The 27809-nt window shown below is 42.7% G+C and overlaps 1 protein-coding gene across 30 annotated transcripts in view, besides 1 other annotated feature; it reads left to right on the forward strand.

The window, feature by feature from the left end:
• KIAA1217 overlaps positions 1–27809 on the forward strand; it is an 853117-nt gene that overhangs the window by 589660 nt on the left and 235648 nt on the right. The gene's annotated exons all lie outside the window — the stretch shown is intronic.
• Positions 7986–9185: an enhancer, noted in NCBI's record as "BRD4-independent group 4 enhancer chr10:24581301-24582500 (GRCh37/hg19 assembly coordinates)". NCBI's record gives its function as "activates an origin of replication core promoter dependent on BRD2, P300/CBP, MED14 and CDK7 cofactors, and independent of BRD4, by STARR-seq in HCT116 cells {active_cell/tissue: HCT116}" and the evidence as "EXISTENCE:reporter gene assay evidence [ECO:0000049][PMID:35650434]".

Here is a 27809-nt window from a genome sequence, read left to right on the forward strand (position 1 = left end):
TCTTCCCCCTTTTGGAGTCCCCAGTGTCTGTTGTTCCCATATTTATGTCCGTGTGTTTATTAGCTCCTACTTACAAGTAAGAACATATGATATCTGATTTTATTTCTGTGCTAATTCACTTAGGATAATGGCCTCCAGCTGCATCCATGTTGCTGCAAAGGACACGATTTTGGTTTTTTAAAAATGACTGCGTAGTATTCCATGGTGTAAATGTACCACATTTTCTCTATCCATTCCACCACTGATGGGCCCCTAGGTTGATTCCATGTCTTTGCTGAGTTCTGTGTCTTTGTCAATAGTGTTGCAATAAACATACAAGTGCAGGTGTCTTTTTGGTAGAATGATTTATTTTCTTTTGGGTATATACCCAATAAGGAGATTGCTAGGTCAAATGGTAATTCTGTTTTTAGTTCTTTATGAAATCTCCAAACTGCTTTCCACAGGGACTGAACTAATTTCCAATCCGACCAACAGTATATGAGTGTTCCCTTTTTTCCACAGCTTCGCCAACTTGTTACTTTTTGGCTTTTTAGTAATAACCATTCTGACTGGTGTGAGATGGTTTCTCATTGTGGTTTTGATTTGCATTTAATGATCAATGATGATTAGCTTTTTTTCATATGCTTGTTGGCCTTACGTATGTATTCTTTTGAGAAGTGTCTGTTGACGTCTTTTGCTTACTTTTTAATGGGGTGGTTTTATTCTTGTTGAATTGTTTAAGTTTCTTATAGATACTGGATATTAGTTCTTGTTAGAGGCATAGTTTGCAAATATTTTCTCTCATTCTGTAGGTTGTTCAGCCTGTTGATAGTATCTTTTGCTGTGCAGAAGCTCTTCAGTTTAATTAGGTTCTACTTGTCAATTTTTGCCTTTGTTGCAATTGCTTTTGAAGACTTAATCATAAACTCTTTGCCTAGGCCAATGTCTGAGGGGTATTCCCTCGGTTTTCTTCTAGGATTTTTATAGTGTGAGGTCTTACATTTAAGTCTTTAATCCATCTTGGGGTAATTTTTGTATATGGTGATAAGTAGAGATCCAGTTTCATTCCTCCGCTTATGGCTAGCCAGTTTCCCCAGCAGGGAGTCCTTTCCCCATGGCTTAGTCTTATTGACTTTGTTGAAGATCAGTTGGTTGTTGCTGTGTGGCTTTATTTGTGGGTTTATTTCTTATTCTGTTGGTCTATGTGTCTATTTTTGTACCAGCACCATGCTATTTTGGTTACTGTAGCCTTGTAGTATAGTTTGAAGTCAGGTAATATGTTTGTTCTTTTTGTTTAAGGTTACTTTAGCTATTCATGCTCTTTTGTGGTTCCAGAATTTTAGAATACTTTTTCTTCTAATTCTATGAAAAATGACATTCACAATTTGATAGGAATAGTGTTGAATCTTTAGATTGCTTTGGGCAGTATGGACATTTTAATAATATTGATTCTTCCAATCCATGAGCATGGAATGTTTTTCCATTTGCTTGTGTTGTCCATGATTTCTTTCAGCAGTGTTTTATAGTTCCCTTACAGAGATCTTTCACCTCTTTGGTTAGATATATTAATATTTCTGGGTATTTTATTATCGTGTGTGTGTGTGGCTATTGTTAATGAAATAGCATTCTTCATTTGGCTCTCAGCTTGAATGTTGTTGCTATATAGAAATGCTACTGATTTTTGTATGTTGATTTCATATCCTGAAGCCTTAGTGAAGTTGTTTATCAGGTCTAGGAGCCTTTTGGCAAAGTCTAGGTTTTTCTAAGTGTAGAATTGTGTATCTTTTCATATGTTTATATGCATCTGTTTGTGTTCTTTGGTGAGGTGGTTGTTCAGATCTTTTGCCCATTTTTTTAATTGGTTTTTTAAAAATTGAATTTTAAGAGTTCTTTGTATAACTTTACTTATTTTTCACACCCAAATTTTCTAAGTATTTTGAGAGACCTTAAATGTGATCATCAACTTCTTAACTTCATAGATTTTAAAAGTTAGTTCAGAATAAAGTTTACCCTTCCTCATTAATACACTTAATAATGCTTAGTTTTAACAAATTATATACATACACACACACACACGCATATATATATATACACACACACACACACATACACATACACACACACATACACACAATCACTCCTTAAATGTGCAAGACCGGGACTTGACTTTGAGAAATTTCAATTCAGGAAGGAAAATTCAATGGGAGGTATTATTATAGATTTAATTTGATGGGAAACGAGGCAGAAAATTTCAAGGACATTATCCCCTTTATATTCTCTTCATCCTTTGCTGATTCTGGCTTTAAAAGACTTCAGAAGTCTTCCAGAGACATTTATGCATTTTCTGAAGGAATGGTAAAAATCCTAATTCTGGGTAACTTTGTTTTACTCCAAACTCTTGGTGCTAAGATTCTGTTCCGTAGTTTCTCACCAAAGCATTCTGTCCCCTTCAGATAGTCAAACATATGACAAACAAAAATACCCACACCCTCTTTCCTTTCCTACCTGGTGCTAATTGGAAAGGGTACCTGGTCAGCGCATTTATTTCACTTTCAGTCATGGGGGAGTCTAATTATGTTTGATTTAACCAAATAATACAAAATTCCTCAGTTCTTGCTTATGGATTTGGACTTCAAAGCATCTTGCCTTTACCTCTCAGAAGCTGTTCTCACTTGTTTTTTGTTTTGTTTTGTTTTGTTTTTGAGATGGAGTCTTGCTCTGTCGCCCAGGCTGGAGTGCAGTTGGTGTGATCTCGGCTCACTGCAACCTCCACCTCCTGGGTTGAAGCAATTCTCTTGCCTCAGCCTCCCAAGTAACTGGGATTACAGGCATGCGCCACACGCCGAGCTAATTTTTTGTATTTCTAGTAGAGACAGGGTTTCACCATGTTGGTCAGGCTGGTCTTGAACTCCTGACCTCAAGTGATCCACCCGCCTCGGCCTCCCAAAGTGCTGGGGTTACGGGCGTGAGCCACCGTGCTTGGCCATCTCACTTGTTTTGAATCAGGATGCCTAGGTCAGTGAGAGCCTGTGTGAGCCAAAAACAGCCACGTTCATCTTTGAAAAAACTTAGGCCGACAAATCAAGTTTTTAATTACAGGAAATAATCACCAACTACTGGAGATGCAATTAAAGGCATTTTTCTCTGAGAGTAGCTTGTTTGTCTTTTATATTTTTCCCCAAAGCTCATTATAAAAAATACTATGTTCTTTCATACTTACAGTCTCAACTCTATCACTTCCTGCTGTGAGTATGGAAATGAATTTTGTTGAAATCAAAGAAATTAGTTAATAAGATTTTTTTTAGCCTGTTAGTAGAAGTGGCTTAACGTTTATAAAGAATATTTGCTTTGCTCATAATTTAACTGAATGAGACATCTGACCTCTGCTGTCTATCAAATTCATTACCGCTTTCTGGGACCCATGAACTGCCTTACATTGTACTAGTTGAGAACTGATGAAATAAAACCATAACTCGATTCATCAAACTGTTTAGAATTCAAATGTTGAGACATATCTCACTTAATAACATGAGGGTATTTTGTTTTTCTTTTTAAATTGTTCACTCTGGCCTTTAGTAGCCACCAGGGAGACATGTGAGTTTGGAAGGGCATCTCAGGTCAATCCTAAAAGCCTGCAGAAGAACTGAGCTGGCAGAATATAATCCTGCAGGTTGAAACTTAGCCAGCCTTTGAAATTATTTTCATCGGGAAAGTACTACAGGATTTTTTAAAATGACATAGTAGACACCCTACTCAGAAGCCTACTCCCTAATTTTTTTTTCTAGTTACTCATTTGCCAAGATGACTTGTTTATTTGAAAGTTGTTGTGATGGAAGTTGGATTATGTATATTATGATTGCTTTTCTTCCTGTGTATTATTTTCATTTGAAAATGTCAAAGTATCTCACCATTTTCCTATTTTATAGACTAGTAAACTGAGTTATATGATTTTGGTGAATTTAAGCTTCCAGGGCTAGATCTCCATTTAGCTTTCTCTTCTACTATTTAGCGCAGTCCATACAAAGCTAGCTGCACCAGAGAGCATTTTATCTGAATCCTATTCTTGTTCACCATGCCTTCAGCAAGCACATTTTACAGAGCGTCCACACGCCGGCCAATAGAACTGCAGGTGTGAGCAGTTCCATTAACCTGTCCTCAAGCCTTAGTGGGAGAGATGGCACAGAATTGCTATATAGGATGTGAATGCTCACTCAAGGGACAGAGCATACAAGGAGACCAGAGAAACAGACCATGGGAACACTAGAGGGAACAAAAGGATAAGAGGCAGTTTGGGTCAGGGAAGGCTGAGGCTTGAAGAGTGAGTTGGAGTTTGCCAGACACAGAAGAGACCCTTGGAAGCAAAGAGATCATGGTATGTCCTGTGCAGAGTTTAATGAGCACAGCGTGTGTAGGGGACATGCTTGGACATGAGACAGCTGGGGCTGAATCAATGAAGTACCTGGTTAAGATGTTTGGACTTAATCCTGTAGGCACTGGGAAGCAACTAAAAGGTAAATAGGGAAGTGACATATCAAATTTGCACTTTAGGCAAGTCCAATGAGAAGGGTTTGAGTTCCATCTTATGAAAAGCTGCTTCTAGATGCCCTGCAATTTATACAGCTGCCATATATTAATCTCCTACTGTGTGCCTGGGCATGCCCATACATGTTTTTCTTTACTTTTTACGCTTTTTTCTCTACTGGCTCTTAACCTGCCTCATCCTATGCCAAGTTTATAAACATATTTCAATTTAATATTATAAATAAAATAATAATACAAAGCCATTAAGATGAAGAGATTGCCATTGCTGTTGCATTCAGCAACTGGGAGTCCCTGCAAATTTGGGAAGAGCTGGTTCAGTGGAGGGCACGGGCACTGGGGTGGTGACTGATTGAGAGGTAAGGAAGGGGAAGTGGGAATATAGATGCTCCTTCTGGAAGGTGGACTGTGAAAGGAAGGAGTTAACCAGTGAAGGCTATAAGATGTGTGGGCCCTACAGAGGCCTGAGAGGAGAGACCCTGAAGGCATGGAAACAGTTGGTGGGTGGATTTGCTTTTAATAGGGGAAAGAGGAGGAGAAGGTGGAGGAGGAGGGATGGAAATATTTTTTCCACTGCCAATGATGGAAGATCGCAGTTGGGGCTGAATTGTCCTCATGGAGGAGGAGGAGGAGGAGGAAGTTGTAGAAGGTTTACTGCTTGCCATCGAATTTTCCAACAAAGATCTTCCACTGAAAATGAGAGAAGAGGTTGATGAGGAAGGAGACTGGAAGAGAAGGGACAAGCTTGAGAGAGTTTCCGTGTGGGAAGGAGAGGGGAATGTTGAGAAGGATTGTCACTAGGGCCCTGGCAAGGGTAGGGACCTCTAGTAGGTAGTCTCAGTAATGACCAGCAACACAGTGTGGGAACAGGAAAGGATGCTGGGACCCCCTGGGATTGAGATTGGGCTGTGTGGGGGTGGTAGGAGGGAAGGTAAGTGGTCAGAGGAGCTGAAGGCTTTGAGAAAAGTATGGGCAAGTGCTAGATCATGGCACCCAGTCTTTTTAATAGTAGGCTGAAAGAAGATACAGATGGTCAAAGATTTGGGGATTGTGGGAGCCAACAGGTTGTTATCAAAAGCGAAGAGAATAGAGTTGAAGATTTCAGATGTAGAGCAACAGTTCCGAGTGATACTAAGCTCCAAGGTATGGCAGTTCGTGTGCAGAGGCTAGGCAAGAGTCCTAGGAGATAAGGAGGCCGAAAAACCTGGAGACCAAAGAACCAGGAGGTCAAAGAATCTGGAGGTGCCAAGCCTTGTCCTAAGGGCCCTGAAACCCTCAGGGTGATGGCAAAAATTGGAGGGAAGAGAGAGTGGAAGTAGAACTCCCAAATCTTCAATGAACAGTGGGCTCATTATCTGCATAAGAGTGAGGATTCATGGGAAATGTGCTCCCCAGAAGAAAGCTTCTTACTTGCATTAAAAATATTAAGAGTAACTCTGAAAACATGATTTTAATCACAATTTCTCTCAGTGGATTTTAGGGTTTTGGAAAAGGCCACAAGTGCCCTAAAGTAGAAGTCTATTGAGATAATGAAAGTTTACTGAAAATTGTATCTGCAAACATTACCTGTCATTCATCTCTCAGGTGAGGTTGTATGAGTGTAAAAAAAAAAAAGTTCTTTCTTTTTTGCTAACTTTCACCTTATCACAATAATGCAACAGGAAGAGAGTTTCAACAAAGCATAATATAAACAGATGTCTCTCTTTTTTTTTTTTTTCAGACGGAGTCTTGCTCTGTCACCCAGGCTGGAGTGTAGTGGTGTGATCTCGGCTCACTGCGACCTCCACCCCCAGATTCAAGCGATTCTCCTGCCTCAGCCTCCCAAGTAGCTGGGGTTACAGGTGCCCACCACCATGCCTGGCTAATTTTTGTAATTTTAGTGAGACAGGGTTTCACCATGTTGGCTAGGCTGGTCTCAAACTCCTGACCTCAGGTGCTCCACCTGCCTCGGCCTCCCAAAGTGCTGGGATTACAGGCATGATCCACCGTGCCTGGCCATGAAGTCTCTCTTAAGACCTTTTATTGTGTGGGGCAGGGGGTTGTTTAAAATACATCCAGTGGGAATGGCAAATTGTGCCCTCTTTTCAAAGTTTGTTTTTCCTCCATCATCTATATTTGAGTTGTTCTGTGTGAATAAGTTTTGGAATGCTTCCTCCTTCTTGTTGACCACAGTGGTTGTTGACATAGACAGAGGTTGTTGGGATAGGAAGAGATCCCTGAGGTTGTCTTGTGGACAACAAAGACCCACGATAACTTTTCTTCCCATATAAGCATGGGCTATCCTAGAGCCCAGTCCCCTGTGGGATATGACCAACAATTATCTTAGAAAATTTCACTCAATCGGCTGGGCATGGTGGCTCACGCCTGTAGTCCCAGCACTTTGAGAGGCTGAGGCGGGCGGATCACCTGAGGTCAGGAATTCCAGACCAGCCTGGCCAACATGGTAAAACCCTGTCTCCACTAAAAATACAAAAAAGTAGCCAGGCATGGTGGCAGGTGCCTGAAATCCCAGCTATTAGGGTGGCTGAAGCAAGAGAATCACTTGAACCTGGGAGGCGGAGGTTCTAGTGAGTCAAGATCGCACCATTGCACTCCAGCTTGGGCAACAAGAGTGACACTCCATCTCAGAAAAAGAAAACTTCACTCAATCATTTCACTTCTACCTCTCCCAGTCCTCTTTGGAGCGTGAGGACACTTGTAAGGCAGTCTGTGGGGACAGTAACTTATAGGTTGTGTCCTGTCCGGTAGTGGGCTTTCATCAGAAGTATGCTTTTGGTCACACTACACCATTTTTTTATACCACCATAGAGTTGACAAACAGCATTCACCCATTTCATTTTGCTTTACTACTCCGATGTGGAGAAAAAAAAAATCTAAGGATTACATTTCTCTTGCAGATTTTTTAGATCAATAGCTATTATTTAAATACAGGGAATCCTGAAAGTCTAAGACTAAAAAATTTGGGTTCCTTTTGTATATGTTAAATTCTCCCATATACACATGGGTCTGTAAATAAAAATAAATAGGTGGCCCCTACCCTTGCAGTTGCATAGAGAAACTAGACCCTGAAATAAAATGGAACAACATTGGAGGATTTTTGTTTAGTGGATTAAAAATTCAATAATACTTGAAAACTTTGTCCAGCTCTTCAACAGAGATATTTGGATGAGTTTTCTGGCTTTTCTAATCAGGAAAGGCTTGTTGGAGAATTAAAGGAGATATGATTGAGGAAATAAAACACAATACAAGATTTTTCTGGATTTATTATGAATAAAAAGGGACCCCAGAGGATTAAGTGGATGTAGTTTGCAGTTGAGGTTAAGTGGTCATGGCAGTTTACCGTGGACATTGTTTAACTGATGGAAAACTCCAAAAGACTGACCAAGGAATTGAAGTAGACCAATTTGGACCAATAACTTGGAGCTCAGAATTAACCACTGTATTTCTCTATTCCAAATACCCATTCCTCTTCCCTGGAACCTCAGGCTGGCCACACAAACTTTCTTGAAAATTCTTGGGGTTCTGCCTTTACAGGAAGGCCATTTGCCTCACTCATCAGAAGTATTAGAGGTTTATTCTGCACAACCATGAAGAGGTTAAAGAGAAGGGTAGGGAGGCCATGAGGGTTCTTACATTCCATCTTGAGTCAACCATCTCCTGTTACCCTCTGAAAAGTGGCAGAATTTGTCCCAGACTTTTTTTTGTTGCACTTCATATCTACTATGGAATTACATTTATAGCTAATGCATTAACTCTAAAAATGGAGAAACCCATTGCTCTGCTGTTTTCATGGTAAGGAAAAACTGCTGAGTCATGATTGACATGGGCTGTTTCAAGAGTTTCCACGGAATGAAGGTAAACGCTTAGGATATCGCAGCCTGAGTGAGAGGCACTGCAAAGTGTGGCCGCTACTTGAAGTTCTTCATGGTGAGTGGAGAGGGAATCCTGAGCGCATCCTGGATTAGAAAAAAAAAAGAAGAAAGGTGGCCTGAAATATGATCTGAGTATATCTGGAAATACGCAGACATCTAGTACTTCACTTGCAGCACTCTGTGAACCAGAAGGCCAATTTCTACATGCTACAAGCTGCACTTCAAGATGCACCCAAAATGCATGCTCGGGAAGTTGTTTTTTGTTTTTGTTTTGTTTTGTTTCTGAGACAGACTCTCCCTCTGTCGCCCAGCCAGGAGTACAGTGGCGTAATCTTGGCTGGCTGCAACCTCTGCCTCCTGGGTTCAAGCAGTTATTTTGCCTCAGCCTCCCGAGTAGCTGGGATTATAGGCATGTGCCACCATGCCCGGCTAATTTTGTTGTTGTTGTTGTTTGTTTTGTTTGTTTTTGTTTTTAGTAGAGACAGGATTTCACCACATTGGCCAGCCTGGTCTTGAACTCCTGACCTCAAGTGATCTGCCAGCGTCGGCCTCCCAAAGTGCTGGGATTACAGGCGTGAGCCACCGCGCCTGGCTGGGAAGTCTTTTTTAATGGCAATAACCAAATGAACTCTCTTGACCTTGCTGCCTCTGCAGGCACTGCCCCGCCCCGGCCCTTCCACTCTAGAGGAAAGCACCTGGCATTTAGCATCTTTACACACAGGAAACAACAGATATGCTCAGGGACTTTTCCTCTAGCTTGTAACCAGGGATGGCTGTTGGGCTTGGCAGCCGTCAGGCTGAGAGTGACTCAGCTTAAAAGGTTTCATTGTTGATATCTGCCCTGAGCATTCCCCTTTGGACTTGGAGTTCCAGGATGTCTTGTGTCTGTGCTTCAGCATCTGAAGCCCCTTGTTGCCTGTTCTTAAGGTAGACTGCATTATCAACGGTGTCTTAAATTAATAGCTTCTCTCTACTGACTATTCACTTGTCACAGCTGACATGAAGGTTCTCAGTCCTGAGTGCCTATTAATGAAGCTCACAGATAGAGTGCAGAAACCCTTTGCAAGATCTGTTTTGCCAGCTTGCTGGTGTCCTGGCATGAAGGTCTCCGACCGACGTCTTTGAAATAGTTCCTGGCCGGGTGCGGTGGCTCACGCCTGGAATCCCAGCACTTTGGGAGGCCAAGGCGGGCGGATCACGAGGTCAGGAGATGGAGACCATCCTGGCTAAGACGGGGAAACACCGTCTCTAATAAAAATAGAAAAAATAGCCGGGCGTGGTGGCAGGCGCCTGTAGTCCCAGCTACTGGGGAGGCTGAGGCGAATGGCATGAACCTGGGAGGCGGAGCTTGCAGTGAGCCGAGATAGCGCCACTGCACTCCAGCCTGGGTGACAGAGCGAGACTCCGTCTCAAAAAAAAAAAAAAAAAAAAAAAAAAGAAATAGTTCCTTTCCACGTGGAGTGGACTGGCCACCTTGGGGCTCTACATTTGCCTGCTTGGTTCAGGCAGTTCTGTCCCATTTCATGTACATTTCACTCTTTTCCCCTACTAGCTTCTCACAGTTTAAATTATCGATGTGATTGCCTACCCAGACATCTAATTCTTTCAACAGGTAGTGGTTTACAGACTCCAGTTTCTTTATGATCATCAAGACAGGGATTGAACAACTGGCACCTTCCCTGTCTGTCCATTGAGGGGCATGTGTTTGATGTGTGTGGATGCTACTTTCATTAGGCAAGTTAATGGCAGTTAGCTACGTTCACACTGAGGAGGAAATAGACCACCGTGTATGCATTTAGTAAACACCAGCGTAGTCAGTGGATCTGTTTCCTTAACAGAACATGGTTCTGCTCCACTGTACACTTCAACCAACTGCTTCAGAGCAAGCTTTTTCCTTAGAAAAGTTTTCATTTAATTAGGATTTAGAAAGGAACGTGGAAACTTTAAGATCTCCATTTAGTCTTCTGCATACTTCAGAGACTTCTGATGTCTCCTACAGGGACAGGAAAGGAGTCAGGGGTCTGAAACTCTAGGACCTGAAAGGCAAGTGCAATTCGGTCACTGTCCACATTGCCAGGGTGTCAAATCACACATACCCTGCCTGAAAGTCTGGGAATTGGAGAATTTAAAATGACAATATTTTCTACTGTGGAATACCTTGCATTCTCCCACTCTGTAAACTACTATTCTGGAGGCGGCCCCTCTCACTATATTTCAAAACCAGATGCTTTTCTCTGGAAATACTAGAAATGTCTCTCTTCTGGGCTGACCTAAAACCAACATAGTATTGGGCATTGAAGTAAGGAGAAATATGGTCAGTGAGGCTAAGACCTCCTCTTCTGAGAATGAAAAATGACTGAGTATTTTGTGTTAGGTGGGACACTATTTGTTAATAGAGAACTTATATCTTAAGTCTCTTAAAATAATTATAGCATCTCTTAGTTATTTCCAGCATAATCCAGGAGTGAGCATTCCAAGAACATCATCTTACAACTTTTAATTAATATATCTTTCTCTAACCCTTAAAGAAATGCTGGTAACTGCTTGTCAGATGAGGAAAAGATGGATCATTATTCAAGTAAGATCCAATATGGGAAACTCAGATATAAATAGTTCAGCATTTTCGTTTCTTATCAAAGATTTATGACTGTGTCTACTTTAGGATTTATTTCTTCTGGACTATTTCAGGAGCCCCTTCACTGGTCTTTCAGCCTCAATTTCCTTTCCTCCGCCCCTTTGTTTGTTTCTCCCACTGCTCTGAGGACAGTTGTCATAAAGCTCAGTTCTAGACTTCTTGATTTGTGTCCCGGGTGCTTCCCCAGTTGTTCTCAGGCCAATTTCTCAGGCCCCTGTTTCACCATTTTATCCACACCTCCAACAGGCATTCCCTCCTGGTGGAACTTCTCCCTCTTCATCTGAGGGTGAAGGGTCTCTTTGTTGACACTGGTCCCTCTGCCGGGCATCCTCTCCCTTCTATACCTCCCTATTGCTACCAATCCTTCCTTCACTAAGAAATCAACCTAAATGCCACCTTCTTCATCCCAGACATGCTACCACTCCTGAGCCAGGAGTAATTAATTCTTTGACCTGTTGTATCGCTCTTATGGCACATGGCTCTTCTGTTTGATTTGGAAAAACGTATATCTCCTTATGCAAATTGTAAGTTCTTTGAAGGCAGGGTCCATGTTTAATTATTTTATTCTTTAATGTGCCTTAGTACTTAAAATGTCCTCTGCTGGCCAGCAGTAAGGGTGTCACCTGTGAGCTTGCTCAAAAAGCAGACTGTCAGCCCCCATCTCAGATATGTGGGATCAGAATTCACATTTTTTTTCTTTTTTCTTTTTGGAGACAGGGGCCCACTCTGTTGCCCAGGCTGGAGTGCAGTGGCACAATCATTGCTCACTGCAGCCTTGACCTCCTGGGCTCAAGCGATCTTCTCCCCTCAGCCTCCTGAATAGTTGGCCTTACAGGTGCACATCATCAAACCCAGTTAATTTTTAAGTTTTTTTGTAGAGAGGTGTCTCCATGTTGCCAAGGCTGGTTGGTCTCAAACTCCTGGCCTCTCAAGCAGTCCTCCCGCCTAGGCTTTCCAAAGTGCTGGAATTACAGGAGTGAATCACTATGCCCGGCCAGGATCCACATTTTAACAAGGGGTCTCCAGGTGATTCCAATGCAGCTGAGTTGGGAGTTCTGGCTTTGTACATTGCACAGAACCTTGTATAAAGCAGAGACTCCCTGGATAGCTATTGAACAACTAATGAATAAATCACATTAAAAGCTGAGTTTCTTCTCATTGACTTAGAGGGAGGTTACCTCATAATTACTCAAACATAGAAAACGTAACCCAACATGTACCATTTTCCTATGACCATTTTGAGTCTTAAAAACGTGGAAACCCTTTTCTTCTTTTAAAATCTTGGATTTGTTATTTCAGATCACCTTTGATAGTTTTTCTTTCTTTCATTTTTTGTGTACCCTCACTGGGTAGTGTTTGGCCTTCGCGAAGAAGGATAGAGAGAAAGCTTGCTAATTGGGGCTAAATACAGATTATGTGCAAAAAAAGAAATTGCTAGCATCTAAAAATAAGCACTCTACACGTGTATAGTTTTATAATCTTATCAGCTGTGATCTTCAGGACCAAGTACGTGGCAACTACAGGAGGATGGTCTCTGTCGCTGTCAAAAGCTGAGTATTCCAACTCTCACTTACTTGATACCAACCACAGAAGGACATGAGACTGTAATACACTGGGATTTTCAAAATGCAAAAGAATTTGATATTAAAGGCTTGTTAGCTGTCTAGGAATAAAACAAGAATGGGGAGAAACATATAAAGTAAGGAAGATTATCTCTCTACAGCTAAAACCAGGCAAAAGGACCACCCACTATGGCATATTGTGAAAATTTTGGGGGCTACTTTTGTTTGTCACAATAATTGGAGCAGTTGGTTGAAGGGTACAATGCAGCAGGGCCATGTTCTGTTAAGGAAACAGATCCACTGACTACATTTGTGTTTAATAATTGCATGCTTAGTGGTCTGTTTCTCCTCAGTGTGACGTAAGTAACTACCATGAGTTTGCCTAATGGAAGTAGCATCCACACACATCCAGCACATGCCCCTTGATGGACAGACAGGGAAGGTGCCAGTTGCTCAGTCCCCATCTCAATGATCATAAAGAAACTGGAGTCTTTAGACTGGGTGCAGTGTCTCATGCCTGTAATCCCAGCACTTTGGGAGGCCAAGGCAGGCGGATCACCTGAGGTCAGGTCAGGAGTTCAAGATCATACTGGCCAAGATGGTAAAACCCCATCTCTACTAAAAATATAAAAATTAGCTGGGTGTAGTGGCCCATGCCTGTAATCCAAGCTACTCAGGAGGCTGAGGCAGGAGAATCACTTGAAGCTGGGAGGTGGAGGTTGCAGTGAGCTGAGATCATGCCACTGCATTCCAGCCTGGGCAACAGAACAAGACTCTGTCTCAAAAAATAAAAAATTTAAAAATTTAAAGAAAGAAACTGGAGTCTTTAAATGACTGCCTGTTAAAAGAAGCAGATGTCTGAGTAGACAATCACATCAAGGATTTTAACTGAGAGAAGCTAGTAGGGGAACAAAGTGAAAGGTACATGAAATAGGACAAAGGCCAGGGATACTAGATACCTTGCAAGGCATAGGATAGTCTCATACTGTGAAGAATTGTCACTTGAGGCCGTGACTTTAGAACATCTGGCCTGACATTTTGGTGGTGAAAAAGTGTTTTTATTAATAGACTCTAAAAATATTTTTATATAAACAAAAATTAAATATATGCTAAATTTTTCAGGAATGCAATTACCATTTCAATTGAGAGGATACTGTCCTTTGTTTTGTTTAGAACTTTACTATACAGTAATGTCTCTGCTCATATCAGTCTGCATGTGTAACTATTGAATTCACACTGATTCTACTTAGAGGTAGCTCCTGATGTCATTGTACCTGAGCATTTGTATATTGAAATGTTCCTTATTTGTTTAGAAATTTTTTTTTTCTCATTTATATAATAGGATATTGTATTGATTTTTTTAAATCTATGTGACTAAGCAAGTTTTAAAATAAGTATATCTCAGGATATAAAAAGAGGCCTTGGGTCTGATGGGTTTGAGAATTACTGGCATGGACAGCCTCATTAGTTCCTGTCTTAAGACAGAGGATAATAAAAGTTAAAGGCTCAGACTTAATCAAAGGGTTAGAAATAGGAGTAGCGAGCCGGGCGCAGTGGCTCACGTCTATCATTCCAGCACTTTGGGAGGCCGAAGTGGGCGGATCACCTGAGGTCAGGAGTTTGAGACCAGCCTGGTCAACATGGCAAAACCTCTTCTCTACTAAATATACAAAAATTAGCCGGGCATGGTAGTACCTGCTTATAGTCTCAGCTACTCAGGAGGCTGAGGCAGGAGAATCACTTGAACTTGGAAGGCGGAGGCCATGGTGAGCCAAGATCGCACCACTGCACTCCAGCCTGGGCGACAGAGGAAGACTCCATCTCAAAAAGAAAAAATAAATAAATAAAATAAAATAAATAGTAAGAGCATATCCCACAGGAAAAGAAGCTGAGAGACAATCTTGGAGGGAATTCATGTATGGGGCAACTTGTCAGAATGAACAGAGCTTGGGCTCAGGAATTAATGCACTGAGTTTGGTGCTCTTCTCTTCAACTTTCAGAATTCAACTATCCTGAATTCTGGCTTCTGGGGGTCCCGGCAGGGTCAGAATGAATATTAGAGATAATGACCTTAAAACACCTAGCACAGAGTTGCAAAAAATGTTACAAATTGTAAATACTGTATATAATAACGCTAATGTCATCTGGCTCTTCAAAATGGAAAATGATGAAGCTATCTTACTGGCTTTTAGAGAAGTTGACCGAGTTTTCTACAATTGCTCATGGCTAGATTTTGGGGCCAGGCTCTAAAATCCAGGTTCTTTAGATTATTTTGAGCCTAACAACCAACTTAGGTTTGACCTGACTTGAATCACTCTCTTCCTCTAAAATTCCCTGTACTCTTGGCTTTGTCCATACAGAACCTGTACATCAAATTACACCAAATATCACAATCCTGTAGCTTTCTCATGGCAACGTAAGTGCCTTTGATATGTGAGTTTTTTCCTTTTTTTCTGGAAACAGGGTCTTGCTCTGTTGCCCAGGCTCTGATCGTAGCTCACTGCAGCCTTGACCTCCCTGGCTCAAACAGTCCTCCCACCTCAGCCTCCCAAGTAGCTGAGACCATAGGTGTGCACCACCACGCCTGGCTAATTTTTTAATTTTTTTGTAGAGACAGAATCTCCCTATGTTGCTCAGGCTGGTTTGAAACTCCTGAGTTAATGTGATCTTCTCACCTTGGCCTCCCAAAGTACTGGGATTACAGGCATGAGCCACTGACTCAATCTAGTTTTTTCCTTTTCAGTAGTCACTTTTACGCTTATGAGTAAACTACAATTTTATGAAGCCTGTGGATGCTGGAGTGATACTTACAGCCCTGGTGTGTCCTCTGTGGGTTCAGCCTGCCCTGTGAACTAATGAAATTTAACCAGTGTGGTGCCTCCCTCCCATTTAGACTTCTCTCTCTGACCAAACTGCCTCTGTTTTCCTTCCCTTTAGACCCCCAGAAGCTGTGCATGCTCCATGTCCAGCAATAACTTTTCTCCTAGATTCTTTACTGCTTGTTCGATTCCAGATGCAAGAGATATAGCTTCACCCGTGCTTCCTATCTTCCTGTGATTTCTCTGCTACCGCAGAGGGTAGTCACCAACCTTTAGCTCAAACACTGATGCCGAGGCTACGTACAGAGAGATGCTTTACCAGTTACTCACCTTCCTCACTGGGCATCTGCAGAGACTCCTAGAGAAATGTTTGTAAGACAACATGAGTTATAAATTTTGCATTCAAAATCTTTTAAATTGGTAACAAAATGAATCCCTGTCCCACAGTGTGAAGAGATCACTGCTTAGTCAGTTTCCTTTTGGGAGAATTATTTCCAATTTTTTTAAGTTAAATGCTAGTTATTAGAAAAGTGACCACATGGCCACCTGAGTCTGTTCAGATCTTTTGGACCATTTTCCTTCTCCTCTTCTGCACACCTCGATTTGCTTGTCACAGGTGTTCCAGAGATTCCTTCTGTTCTTGTCTTTGGCAGGATCATCTTGAATTGAGTAGTATAAATATATCCTGCCTCTGTTTCTACTATGAAAGCCCCTCTCTCTGCATTTCCTGCATGGTTTCCTTACGCTGTTCTGTGCATTTTGGGTGGCGTCTGCATTCTTTTATTATTTTTTTGAGATGGAGTCTCATTGTATCACCCAAGCTGGAGTGCAGTGGCACGATCTCGACTCACTACAGCCTCCACCTCCTGGGTTCAAGCAATTCTCCTGCCTCAGCCTCCTGAGTAGCTGGGACTAGAGGCATGCACCACCACACCTGGCTAATTTTGTATTTTTAGTAGAGATGGGGTTTCACCATGTTGGCCAGGCTGGTCTCAAACCCCTCACCTGAAGTGAATTCGCCTGTTTGTTTGTTTATTGAGACAAGAGTCTCACTCTGTTGCCCAGGCTGGAGTGCAGTGGTGTTATCTTGGCTCACTGCAACCTCTGCCTTCCGGGTTCAAGCAATTCTCATGCCTCTGCCTTCCGAATAGCTGGGATTACAGGCACCAGCCACCACGCCCGGCTGATTTTTGTATTTTTAGTAGGCACAGGGTTTCACCATGTTGGCCAAGCCTGTCTTGAACTCCTGACCTCAAGTGATCCACCCGCCTCAGCCTCCCAAAGTGCTGGGATTACAGGTGTGAGCCCCCGCAACTGGCCAGGTCTGCATTCCTAATGCTACTTTTGAGCCCGGCAATCTCAGACAATAAAATTCAGTGCAGCTGGGGCAGATAAGTGCCCCCCTGCTCTCACATTTCTCTTTAGTCTTGGCATCTTCAAGTTAGAACCAGGTCATTATTTTTGTATCAATGACATTTCATTATGCCATAAATACTGAGGTGTTAAAAACACCAAAAAAGCCCTAAAAATGCCTAGAAAATTATCCGAAGCATTTACTATTAAGGCTGATAAACTTTTTCTTCTCTTTTCAAATATAAATTGATTATAAAGCATATTGAGTGACTTCAAGCTGAAGGTTTTCAGTATCTGGAAAACTGAAATTTAATTGCAGCCTTCATGTCACCACAGTGCCAGGTGCAGCATAGTGCTCAGGGCCCCACGCACCTTCTAACTTCCATTCCCAAACAGGTCTTCCCTCCTCTCCATTCCCCAAACCCCAACCATCTCCACCTGCTGACACTGTAGCTTCATCCCCAGATCACTTCAGCTGAAAGTGGTTTTCCTTTTTCTGGATTCCAAGAAGGACTTTGCTTGCAAAAAATGTTTATTTACTTATTTTTTTTTAAAGGCAACAGAAGTTCCACAATTAATCTTTTCTTGTAAGTAGACTTTATTTTTTAGAACGGGTTGGCCAGGCGCAGTGGCTCATGCCTAAAATCCCAGCACTTTGGGAGGCTGAGGCAGGCAGATCACCTGAGGTCAGGAGTTCGAGACCAGCCTGGTCAATGTGGTGAAACCCTGTATCTACGAAAAATACAAAAATTAGCTGAGCGTGGTGGCGCCCGCCTATAATCCCAGCTACTTGGGAGGCTGAGGCAGGAGAATCACTTGAACCGGGGAGGCGGAGGCTGCAGTGAGCCGAGATCACGCCACTGCACTTCAGCCTGGGCGACAGATTAAGACTCCATCTCAAAGAAAAGAAAAGACTGAGAGACAGCAAACGAGACATAGGGTTTATCAGGGGAACTTACTTACAGGGATGGTCCAGTGGTGGCAGGTTGGACAGGAGAACCACTACCATTTGTAAAAAGCATACAGTTTATATAGCATTTTCACTTAGCACCCTCCACCTAGCAACCTCCATTTAACCCAAAACAAAGGGACTTGATCCCCTGTATGACCTGCATTTCAAGAGACAGGCCAGGGGTTTGGATGTCCATCATGGGTAAGGAGTGAATCCCTGGGTTGGCCACTCCTGGATTCCTTAGCTCAGAACTCTGAATGCACATTCTTCTTGATCATAGTGTCATTCTCAGGGCATGCCTAGGTTAAGTTATTGCTGTCAGGTGCATCTCTATACACTTCCTAATGTGTTGCTCTTTTATGAGTGAATTACCTTTAATTTGGCCTTATGTTTTCTATGTCTATGTTGTGCTTCTCTTTTATTCTTATTTATTCAGTGTATATTTCTTAAGGGCATATTAGGCACTGCTGTGTAGGTCTGGAAAAACAGGGAACACACAAAGTACCTGCCTTATTAGTGCCAGGATTTCAGAGAAAACAGGCAGGTGACAGACAAACCAATAGATGGCATGCAGTATAAGTGCTATGAAAAAAAAATAAGACAGTGTAAGGGAAATCGACACAGGAGACCTTAAAGAGAAGGCCTTCTGGATGAAAGGACACTTTGAGCAGACACCAGGGAGCAGTGAGGGAGGAGGTGGCCATGTGGATATCTGTCTAGTGGAAGAGCCCAGAAGGCAGAGGAAACAACACAAGTTAGACAGTTAAGACCAAGGCCTTAGGTGGGGTGGCAGGATGGCTACATGGGACTGAGGGACCATATGGGGGTGGGACATAGTCAAGGTCAAGGTCATGTAGGGTCTTAACAGGCTGTAGTAAAGGCTTGAATTTTTACTCTGAGTAAGAGGGAAAATCATTGGCTTTTTATTTTTCTAGAAATAGGGTCTTGCTCTGTCACCCAGGCTGGAGTGCAGTGGCTCAATCATAGTTCACTGCAGCCGCAAACTCCTGGGCTCCAGCGATCCTCCCATCTCAGCCTTCCTAGTAGCTGGGACTGCAGGTGCACACCACCAAGCCCAGTTAATTTTTAAATTTTTTTTTTAGAGACAGGATCTTGCTGTGATGCCCAGGCTGGTTTCAAACTCCTGGCCTCAAGCGATCCTCCTGCCTCGATCTCCCTAAGTGCTAGGATTACAGGCATGAGCCACCACACCTGGCCTCCATTGGAGGGTTTTAAAGACTTATATACTTAGTTAAAGCAGTCTGTAGGGGGATAAGGCAAGCCTGGAAGCAGGGAGACCCGTGAGGAGGCTCCTGGACAACGTAGGGACAACAGGCCATGACTAGGGTGGTGGCCATGAGAGGTGAGAATTAATCAGATCCCAGTTCACAGAGTTGATGGGATTTACTACTGGTCTGACTGGGAAGGACTGTAAAGAAAAGCAGGGAGTCAAGAATGATTAGAAACAAGGTTTGTGCCCTCGGCAACTGGAGGAGGATTCCTGATGTCATTTACAGAGAATGGGGAGGGGATCTGAGGTGGGATTAAGCTTGAGGAACAAACTCAAGTTGGGTTTTGGACAGACTACATTCGAAGTTCCTGTTGGACGTTGAAGGCTGTTGGCTGTGAGTCTGCCTTCCAAATCCCTGAGTCCTTGAATTCAAGGTCGTGTGTTGGCCGTCTTTGTATTAGGACATCTAACTCTTGTGTTTGACTTAATGGGATTCAAATTTGCACGTGTGTGGTTTTCTGAATGTGGCCTACAGTTTCACTTGGATCTTCATATTCTTTTTCATCATAATCTGTAAAAGCAGAAAAAAAGACCATTGGAAAGAAATGCTGTATGAAACTTTCTGAAAATGGATAGAACCAGAAATGATGCTGACAGGAGTTTTAGAAATGAAAAATAGAGAGTATTCAGACCAAATATAAGTAAATTAGCATAAATCAGCATTCTCTGATTTCCACGCCTACTTACCCAAGTTGGTTGACTCAACAGCTGCTAAGACTACAGCTGTGTGAATCCTCCACATTTTTTTTTTTTTTTGCATGGAAAAGTGTTTCAGTTTGTCATTGCTTCATCATTTCGAATTCCATATTAGGTTACCTTTTTTTTTTTTTTTTTGCCTGACCATAGTACTTAAGAAAAATCTTGCAACTGTCCTTCATTCTGTTGAACCAACTATATCTTATGTTTTCACTTGACATTTTGTTTTAGATCTACTTGGGGCTTTATTTAAATTTTTTTAACATTTAAAAAAATTTTTTTACTTAAATAATGAGGCAGTGTCTCATTATTATCCAGGCTGGACTGCATGGGGCATTCATAGTTCCTGGGCTCAAGCAATCTTCCTGTCTCAGCCTCCAAAGTAACTAGGACTAACAGCATGTACCACCACATCCAACTAGTTTTTTTCATTTTTTTATAGGGACGGGGTCTCGTTATGTTGCCCAGGCTGGTCTTGAACTCCTGGCCTCAAGTGCTCCTCCTACCTTTAAGTGCTGAGATTACAGGCATGAGCCACCAGACCTGACCTTGGGGTTTTATTATTTGCCTTCGAGCCCCTTCAGACAGTTCTTCTTGGAGGTTTGGGGAAGGCTTCTGTAAAGAAAACTTCCTTACACCTGTTTGATGATGGTAAAAGGTCCAGGTGGAGAAAGACTTCCTAGGCAGAAGGAAAAGGAAGTGCAAAGCTATGTAGCCTCTACAAGAGCACATGTGTAGTTTAGGGTGGCTGCATAGGACCTGGGAAGAGAGCTGGGTGATGCAGGGCAGATGACTGGCAGGTAATGAAGGTACTTATGGGCTATGCTAAGGAGTATGGAAAATGGGGAGTATTCAAAATTTAGAGCCCAGGGTACAGTGATGGGATTGCATTTTTTGACAAAGCTACTTTGACTGCCATGTAAAGAACAAATGGGAGGTGAGGGAGCCTGATTAGAAGGTCCTTGATGATGCAGGCAAAAGATGATGAAGGTCTCAAAGTTCTTTGAGCCTTGACTGGAACACATTTAGTGTGACGTGTGTTTATAACATAAAATTAAATACGAAAGCAGAAACATTGGTGATGGAGAGGAGAGCACAAAATTGGGGAGATATTGTAGCCAGGTTGAAAGCTTGTACTGCTCACTGCACAACAGCCAGTAAGTCAAGAGACAAGGAGTTAGAGTAAGGAAGATGACTTTATTTGGAGAGCCAGCAAACCAAGAAGATGGTGGACTGGTGTCCTAAAGAACCATCTTAAAAGACATGAATCTCAAGCTTCTTTTTATATTTGGGAAAGGGGAACAAGGAGAGGGTTGAGGTGACAGGTGACCACAGACATCTGAGCATTAGCAGGCGTCCGAGGGTGTTACATTGAATATTGCATTGTTACTTGTGTCTATGCCCTTTTTATTTCCTCAGTGGTTAGTTTTGGGAAGGGACTATTATCATCCTTGCTTTAAACTGTAAACTAAATCCCCCCCATGGTTATCTTGGCTTATGTGTGGGAATGAGCAAAGATAGTCAGCTTGAGCGGTTAGAAGCAAGATGGAGTTAGTTAGCTACGTTATGTTTCTGTAACTGTTACGTCTTACTTGTAGGATTACAACATCTACTTGGATGAATGGTGATGTCATTCTAGCATGAGGAGCAGGTGGGATTAGGTTGAGGTTGAATGGGACCATAGTTCTGTCAGGACGTGTCATCTTTGTGGAGCCCAGGGGTCATCCATTAAGCAGCTGGGAATACAGTTCTGGGGCTCAGCAGAGACCTCAGCCTGGAAGAACATGTTTAGAAGTCATCAACATCTCATTAGGAAAGAGAAAGAGATCGCCCAGGAGAGGAAATAGAGCAAGGAGAGAAAATGGTCAACAAGGGAAACCATGCTGGGATTGAGTCTCTGTGGTACCAATGGTCTTACTATTGACGTCAGAGTTAAAAAAGAAGAGAGTTATATTCAAATTCTGGTTGAGTTAGTCTCTTATTAACATTTCCTGACTCACCAACTGGTAAATGTCCAAGAAAAATATATCTTTTTGTTTTATCAGAAAATATACATGCTATTTGATCACTCTTCAGGCATTAACAAATGGTGTCTATGAGAACATTTTAACAAAATGTCCTTTCTACTGTTAATACCCACAGCAACCAACTTGGAAATCAGTCATCATAGAAGATGACTGCAGGTTCTGGCTTTCCCAAATCACCAATAATTCACACCTTTGTACATGGTTCTGTGCATGATCTGTTCCTAATATTATGCAACACTTGTGAAATCTTTAGGACTTTAAGTAATTCATCGTTTTGCCCCAAACCTAGACACTACTATAAGAAACCCAACAGGCTACTCTTACCAGCAATAGGGGTTCCTGAACAATATCACGGAACAATGAGAAATCCTGCACTCATGAATTCTCTTTACAACCCCAGGTGCTCAAGCATGGTTTTTAAGGGTGACTCCCTGGCCACCTGGTAAGTCTGAGTGACTTGCGGGCAGCTGTCTTTCTGGAGCGGGAGTTATTCTCTGAAGCCATAGAAAGTGTCAGGGAAGGCTGGATACACATCACGTATGTGCATGAGAAGTAATACTTTCAACAGCAGCAGCATCTTCCAAGTGATAAAAATAACTCAGCTTTAGTCAGTAGCCCAGAAGCCAAGTGTCCCCTTTCACTGCTTGTTCTCTGTTGGTATTCTTCAAAGGGACATCGTGTCTTTCACAGTTTGGAATGTGATGTTTCTGTTCTCACTGACATAACTGTCTTAGTATCTGCTCCTCCTCTTGTCATATATTTGGAAGGTCTTCACCTCTTGATCACTTGCATTTTACATTCTACTTGTCTATTGTTCATTCACACGGCAAGAAATGACGGCTACCTGCCGGGCATTAGTTAGCAAAGCTGCTTATACTCTGATTTCTATTGTTCTCCCAGTTTTTAGACTGTAGCCGTTTAATTACAATGCAGCAGCTTTCACGTCAGTATTTCTCCTGAAGGTCTTAGTTTATTTTATTCCTCCATCACAGAAGGTTCCTTGAGGTCCTGTATTCTGAAAATAGATGCATTTCTTCCAAAATACTGGATAGCTTTTAGATTTTTCAAAGTTCTTGGCAAGTCTACTTTTGGAAACCTTGACTGACTTGCGAATATGATTTCTCCTTTTTTCTTAGCTCCGGGTTGAGCTCCTTCTCAAGAGCTCTTATGTTATAAAGCTTGTGTTCATGAGCAGAGAAGGACTGATAGTGGGTGTTATTAATCATTGAAAGATGTGGCTGTGACTGCTATTATTTCCTGTGTTAAGCTTCCCACCAGCAAACCTGGCCAAGTGCTTTGGCGCTGTGGAAACAGCCTTCGTGTACACACTTCTTGACCCTTCACTCCCTTCATGCCCTTCTTCCCATCAAGACTTAATGATTGGCTGGGCATGGTAGCTCATGCTTATAATCCCAGCGCTTTGGGAGGTCAAAGTGGAAGGATCACTTGAATCCAGGAGTTTGAGACCAGCCTGGACCACATAATGAGACCCCATCTCTCCAAAAAAAAAAAAAAAAATATTAGCCAGGCATAGTGGCAACATGCCTGTAGTCCCAGCTACATGAGAGGCTGAGGCTGGAGGATTGCTTGAGCGTAAGAGGTCGGGGCTACATTGAGCCGTGATTGTGCTACTGCACTTAGCCTTGGTGACAGAGTGAGACCTTGTCTCAAAAAAAAGAAAAGAACTGGAAAAGAAAAAAGAATGGTGTTCATCTCCACCCAGCATGCTAGAGCAGGCATGCCATTCATTGTGGAGGCAAAACTCCCGCATAGCTGCCAAAATAACTGCTGAGTGCTTTGCGATGGAGAGAAACAAAGGAATGTTGGGTCACTGCCCGAGTCATGGGGTCTCTGCCTGAGCCATAGAAAGCTTTTGATTTCTGGAGCCACATTGAATGAACTGATTATGTTTAAAATTATAAAAGAAAAATATAGCCTAAGATAATTGAGTGCAATAAACCAATTTAACTTATTTGTTCTTACGTGTAACAATTGTTGAGTAGGTACCATGGTACCCACTCTATTGCTAAGCTGTGGAAGGAGCCTTGCTTTGGAATTCTCTCAGCTCCTCTTTCCCATCATTTCCTTAGCTGTGTCCCTTTTCAGCCTCCTGTGCTAACTGATAGCACATGTGTTTCAGAATGGAACCTGGAAAAGGAATGTGTGCAGCCCTCGTAAGGATATACCGTTCCACATTCCATATGCTGTTAGATAATATGCTGGCTAGACCGTCAACAGTTACCCCAGGAAGGGGGAATTTGGATTGGAAAGAAATCAAAGGAATTGGAGGTAACATAATGGACTGCAGTTAAACAGTAATAGGGTGGTCTGGACAACTGGACGAAGGCCAGTTTCTAAATTGCAGGCAATCCCCTCTGCCCTTTTAGAACAAGGCAAGGTCCACTGAATGGAGAAGAAGGCAGGCCATCAGCCTTCTTAGGGTTTAATTCAGACACGGGCTCTGAGCTTTGTCTTTTGTTCTCTTTAAAGGAACAAAGCCATTGAATCCAGCCAGAAAAACCTGTGCGTATCCATCATAAACATCCACAAACTCTTCTTTAATCTCCCTTGTTATTCTCCCTAAGAAGTAAGGCTCCAACATAAGTTCTTGGTTGCATCTGACAAGTGTCAGCTGATGTCCATGACCCCTTCGTTTCCTGTGTCCCTTCTACTTGATGCAATGACTGGCATAACGTATTTGTTGGAATGAATGAATGAATGGCATTGGTGGCTGGGCACAGTGGCTCATGCCTCTAATCCCAGCACTTTGGGAGTCCGAGGTGGCTAGATCAGTTGAGGTGAGGAGTTTGAGACCAGCCTGGCCAACATGGTGAAATGCTGTCTCTACTAAAATTTCAAAAATTAGCTAGGCATGGTGGCTAATGCCTGTAATCCCAGCTACTTGGGAGGCTGAGGTCGGAGGATCACTTGAACCCAGGAGGCGGAGGTTGCAGTGAGCTGAGATCACACCACTGCACTGCAGCCTGGGTGACAGAGCAAGACTCTGTCAAAAAAAAAAAAAAAAAAAGGAAGGAAGGAAGGGAGGGAGGGAGGGAGGGAAGGAGGGAGAGAGAGAGGAAGGGTGAGTGAGTGGAAGAAAACAATGAAATCCAGTTCTGAGGGTAAGGAGCATGCCATCAATATGATGGGGGATGTGATATGGTATGAGGATGGGGTCTTTCAAACTGTATTGTGTAGACCAGTAGACCATGACAAATAGGCGCGCGCACGCGCGCGCGCACACACACACACACACACACACACACACGGGCTTCCATGTTCTTACAAATGTTGCACACTATATCTGACTGTGGGATCACAGTGTACGTTTGTATACCAAAGTCTCTGTAAAGACCTGCAATGAAGTGAACCCCTTTAACCTTTCTTTTACTCAGTGTTCCCCTATTGTATTTGACTGTGGAACCCTCTGCGTCATACCCTTTTACATCCCAGAACCCACCGAACACAGTTTCTTCAACATTGGCAGAAATTTACAAAATCATCGTAGTCTTGAGTCCAGCTGACCTGAGTGTGAATCAAGGTTTACCACATAGTGTGTGATCCTGAGCCAAATTAAGTAACCTCTGGTTCCCTCCTTCCTCATCTATATGATGAGGATAATGTGCATCTCCTAAAAGGAGAGAATGAAGGCAGTTAATGCAGGTAATCCATCTTGCGTGCACCCAGCACAGGGTGGCTCTTCCCTGGTTAATTTCCACCCTGATGTGTAGAATTTCCCTGCAACACTCTGCTACCACAAAGAGGGGCTTCTTAGGATATAACCTATTGTCCTTAAACTTTATGAGCAGTGCAATAATTGTTATTTGCACCTGTAAAATGTGAATAACTGGTCTTTCTTTTTAAAATACTTTCCCAAAGGAAAATTATGGCAAAGAGATCATGTCCTAACTAGTTTCTCACGTGTTGGTGCTATCACCTCCTGAGTTTTGGCAACGTTATTTCTCTGCTTTTTTTCTTGACTCCCCTCTAGTTCTTCTAAATTAGATATTAAGCAGGAGAAGTATTTTTAATATCCTGGAAATGTGTTTTATTAATCTACCAAACAAATGGCTGTCCAACAACTCCATGAAACAGGAAGAACGGCCACTAGCATTCATTTTGCTTTTACCAGGCACCAGGTAGCGCTGTAAACTCTTTATGTGTGTAATTCATTTCATCTTCACAACAACTCGATGAGGTAAGTGCTATTATCTGCAGTTTGCAGAGAAGGAAACCGAAGCTGGTGGAGTAACATGCCTAAGGCCACCCTGCCAGGATAAGATGAATGACCACGACTCTGAGTGACTAAAGCCTTAGGAACAAAGATGAGTTGAAAATGGGAGAGCCACCTGGGGTAGAACCCCAGAGTTTTTATTTTCTTGCAAAGTTTTAGTAAAACTTTCTCAGTTTTCAGGAAACAAAAGTTATATATTTTAGAGTTTGAAATCACAAATTACACACCACTCCCCCATCTCTAGCCTCTACATTTTTAAGCAAGATCAACAGAACCCAGTGGAGTTCCATGGAGTTCAGGGACCTTGCTCCAGGTGTGCCTCTAACACTCAGTCCCTTTTCCAAGGCAGGGCACATATAATTGAATATAGGCTGGGTGTGGTGTCTCATGCCTGTAATCCCAGCACTTTAGGTGGCCGAGGCACGTGGATCACTTGAGCCCAGGAGTTGGAGACCAGCCTGGGCAACTTGGTGAAAACCCATCTCTACAAAAAATGCAACAATTAGCCAAGTGTGGTGGTGCACACCTGTAGTCCTAGCTATTTGAGAGGCTGAGGTTGGAGGATCACGTGAGCCTGAAGAGGTTGAGGTTGCAGTGAGCCAAGATTGTACCACTGCACTCCAACCTGGGCAAGAGAGTGAGACCCTGTCTCAAACAAAACAAAACAAAGCAAAAAAATGAAGATTGCCAAATATTTAAATGTCAGTTACTATTAATTTAAATGTCCATCAGGGTTCTCCTTGAAGTCAAAACTGCTGTTTTCCCCAATGCCAGAACTCCTAACAGTGGACCCCAGGCCGTAGGAGGTGATCTAGAATTGCCCCTGAATTAAAGGCTTTGTGTTCTGCACACGTGATGCAACCTCAGGATCGGACATGTGTTAGTTCCCAGCCTGTGTCCTGTGACACCTTGGAGAACAATCGAGACTGGTTGATATTTGGAGGGTTAAGCAAAGGACCTTTCTTTTGCCAGCTACTCTGCCGTGGTTGAAGTGTCTTGAGGGTGGTGAACGGGTCCTCGCTGGGCTTGTCTCTGAGCTGCACACATTGACTTGACACAGGAGTCAAGTAGTAAGTATTGGTTGAAGGAATCAGCGATGTTTGGCTACCCATTGTGTGCTCTCTAATATTTGCTAGGGATATGGTGATAAGGGAGGAAAAAGACCCAAGGAGTAATGACCGAGCAGCTATGTAAGTGAATCAATGATGTGACCACATTGCTTTTTCTTAGCCGATAGTTACAGCTCTATGCAACTTTTTCTACTTATTGCTGGAGGTAATCACATTCCAACCCTGAGGACTGCTCCCATGCTGGGCGGTACTGCAGTGACCTCTGCATTTGAGCTGGGGTTTCTTGTATCTCACGAGGGTCAGGGGCCTGTGGGAACTTTTTGTCATCTGGGGGGACAAAGGCTTTCTTGGGAAAAAAAAGTCTCCTTTTTATCCTCTGCGGGTGAAAAAGAAGTGCCGTTAGAATAGGAAGGGGCTTCTTGTAGGCTTGAAAAGAGAAGGACTTGGCAGGTGGCACCTGGGCTTTGTTCAGCAGAACTGAGAGGGCAAGAGTATAGCTGGCTTTTTTGTAAGACTCATGAACTCTGTGGCCCATTGATGAGATGCTCTCTGCTCTACAAAGTGGACTTTCCTCGAGGTGGAATTTTATTTTCCTCCCTGTGCTGGTGTTAGATTCTCTGGATACATAAGGTGACCCGAGGAGAAGCAGGCAATGTCATCACAGTTTATTTGTAGGATCTGGGCTTCCTCCTTCAGAGGAGGTGCCACTCACACCCGAGATGCCTGCTCTCTCCCTGAGCCTTTCAGCACAAGGGCAGGACGGAGAGGAGCCCAGCTAAC

The sequence above is a fragment of the Homo sapiens genome, chromosome 10 (genome assembly GCF_000001405.40).
Source record: "Homo sapiens chromosome 10, GRCh38.p14 Primary Assembly".
Classification (NCBI taxonomy): Eukaryota; Metazoa; Chordata; class Mammalia; order Primates; family Hominidae; genus Homo; species Homo sapiens.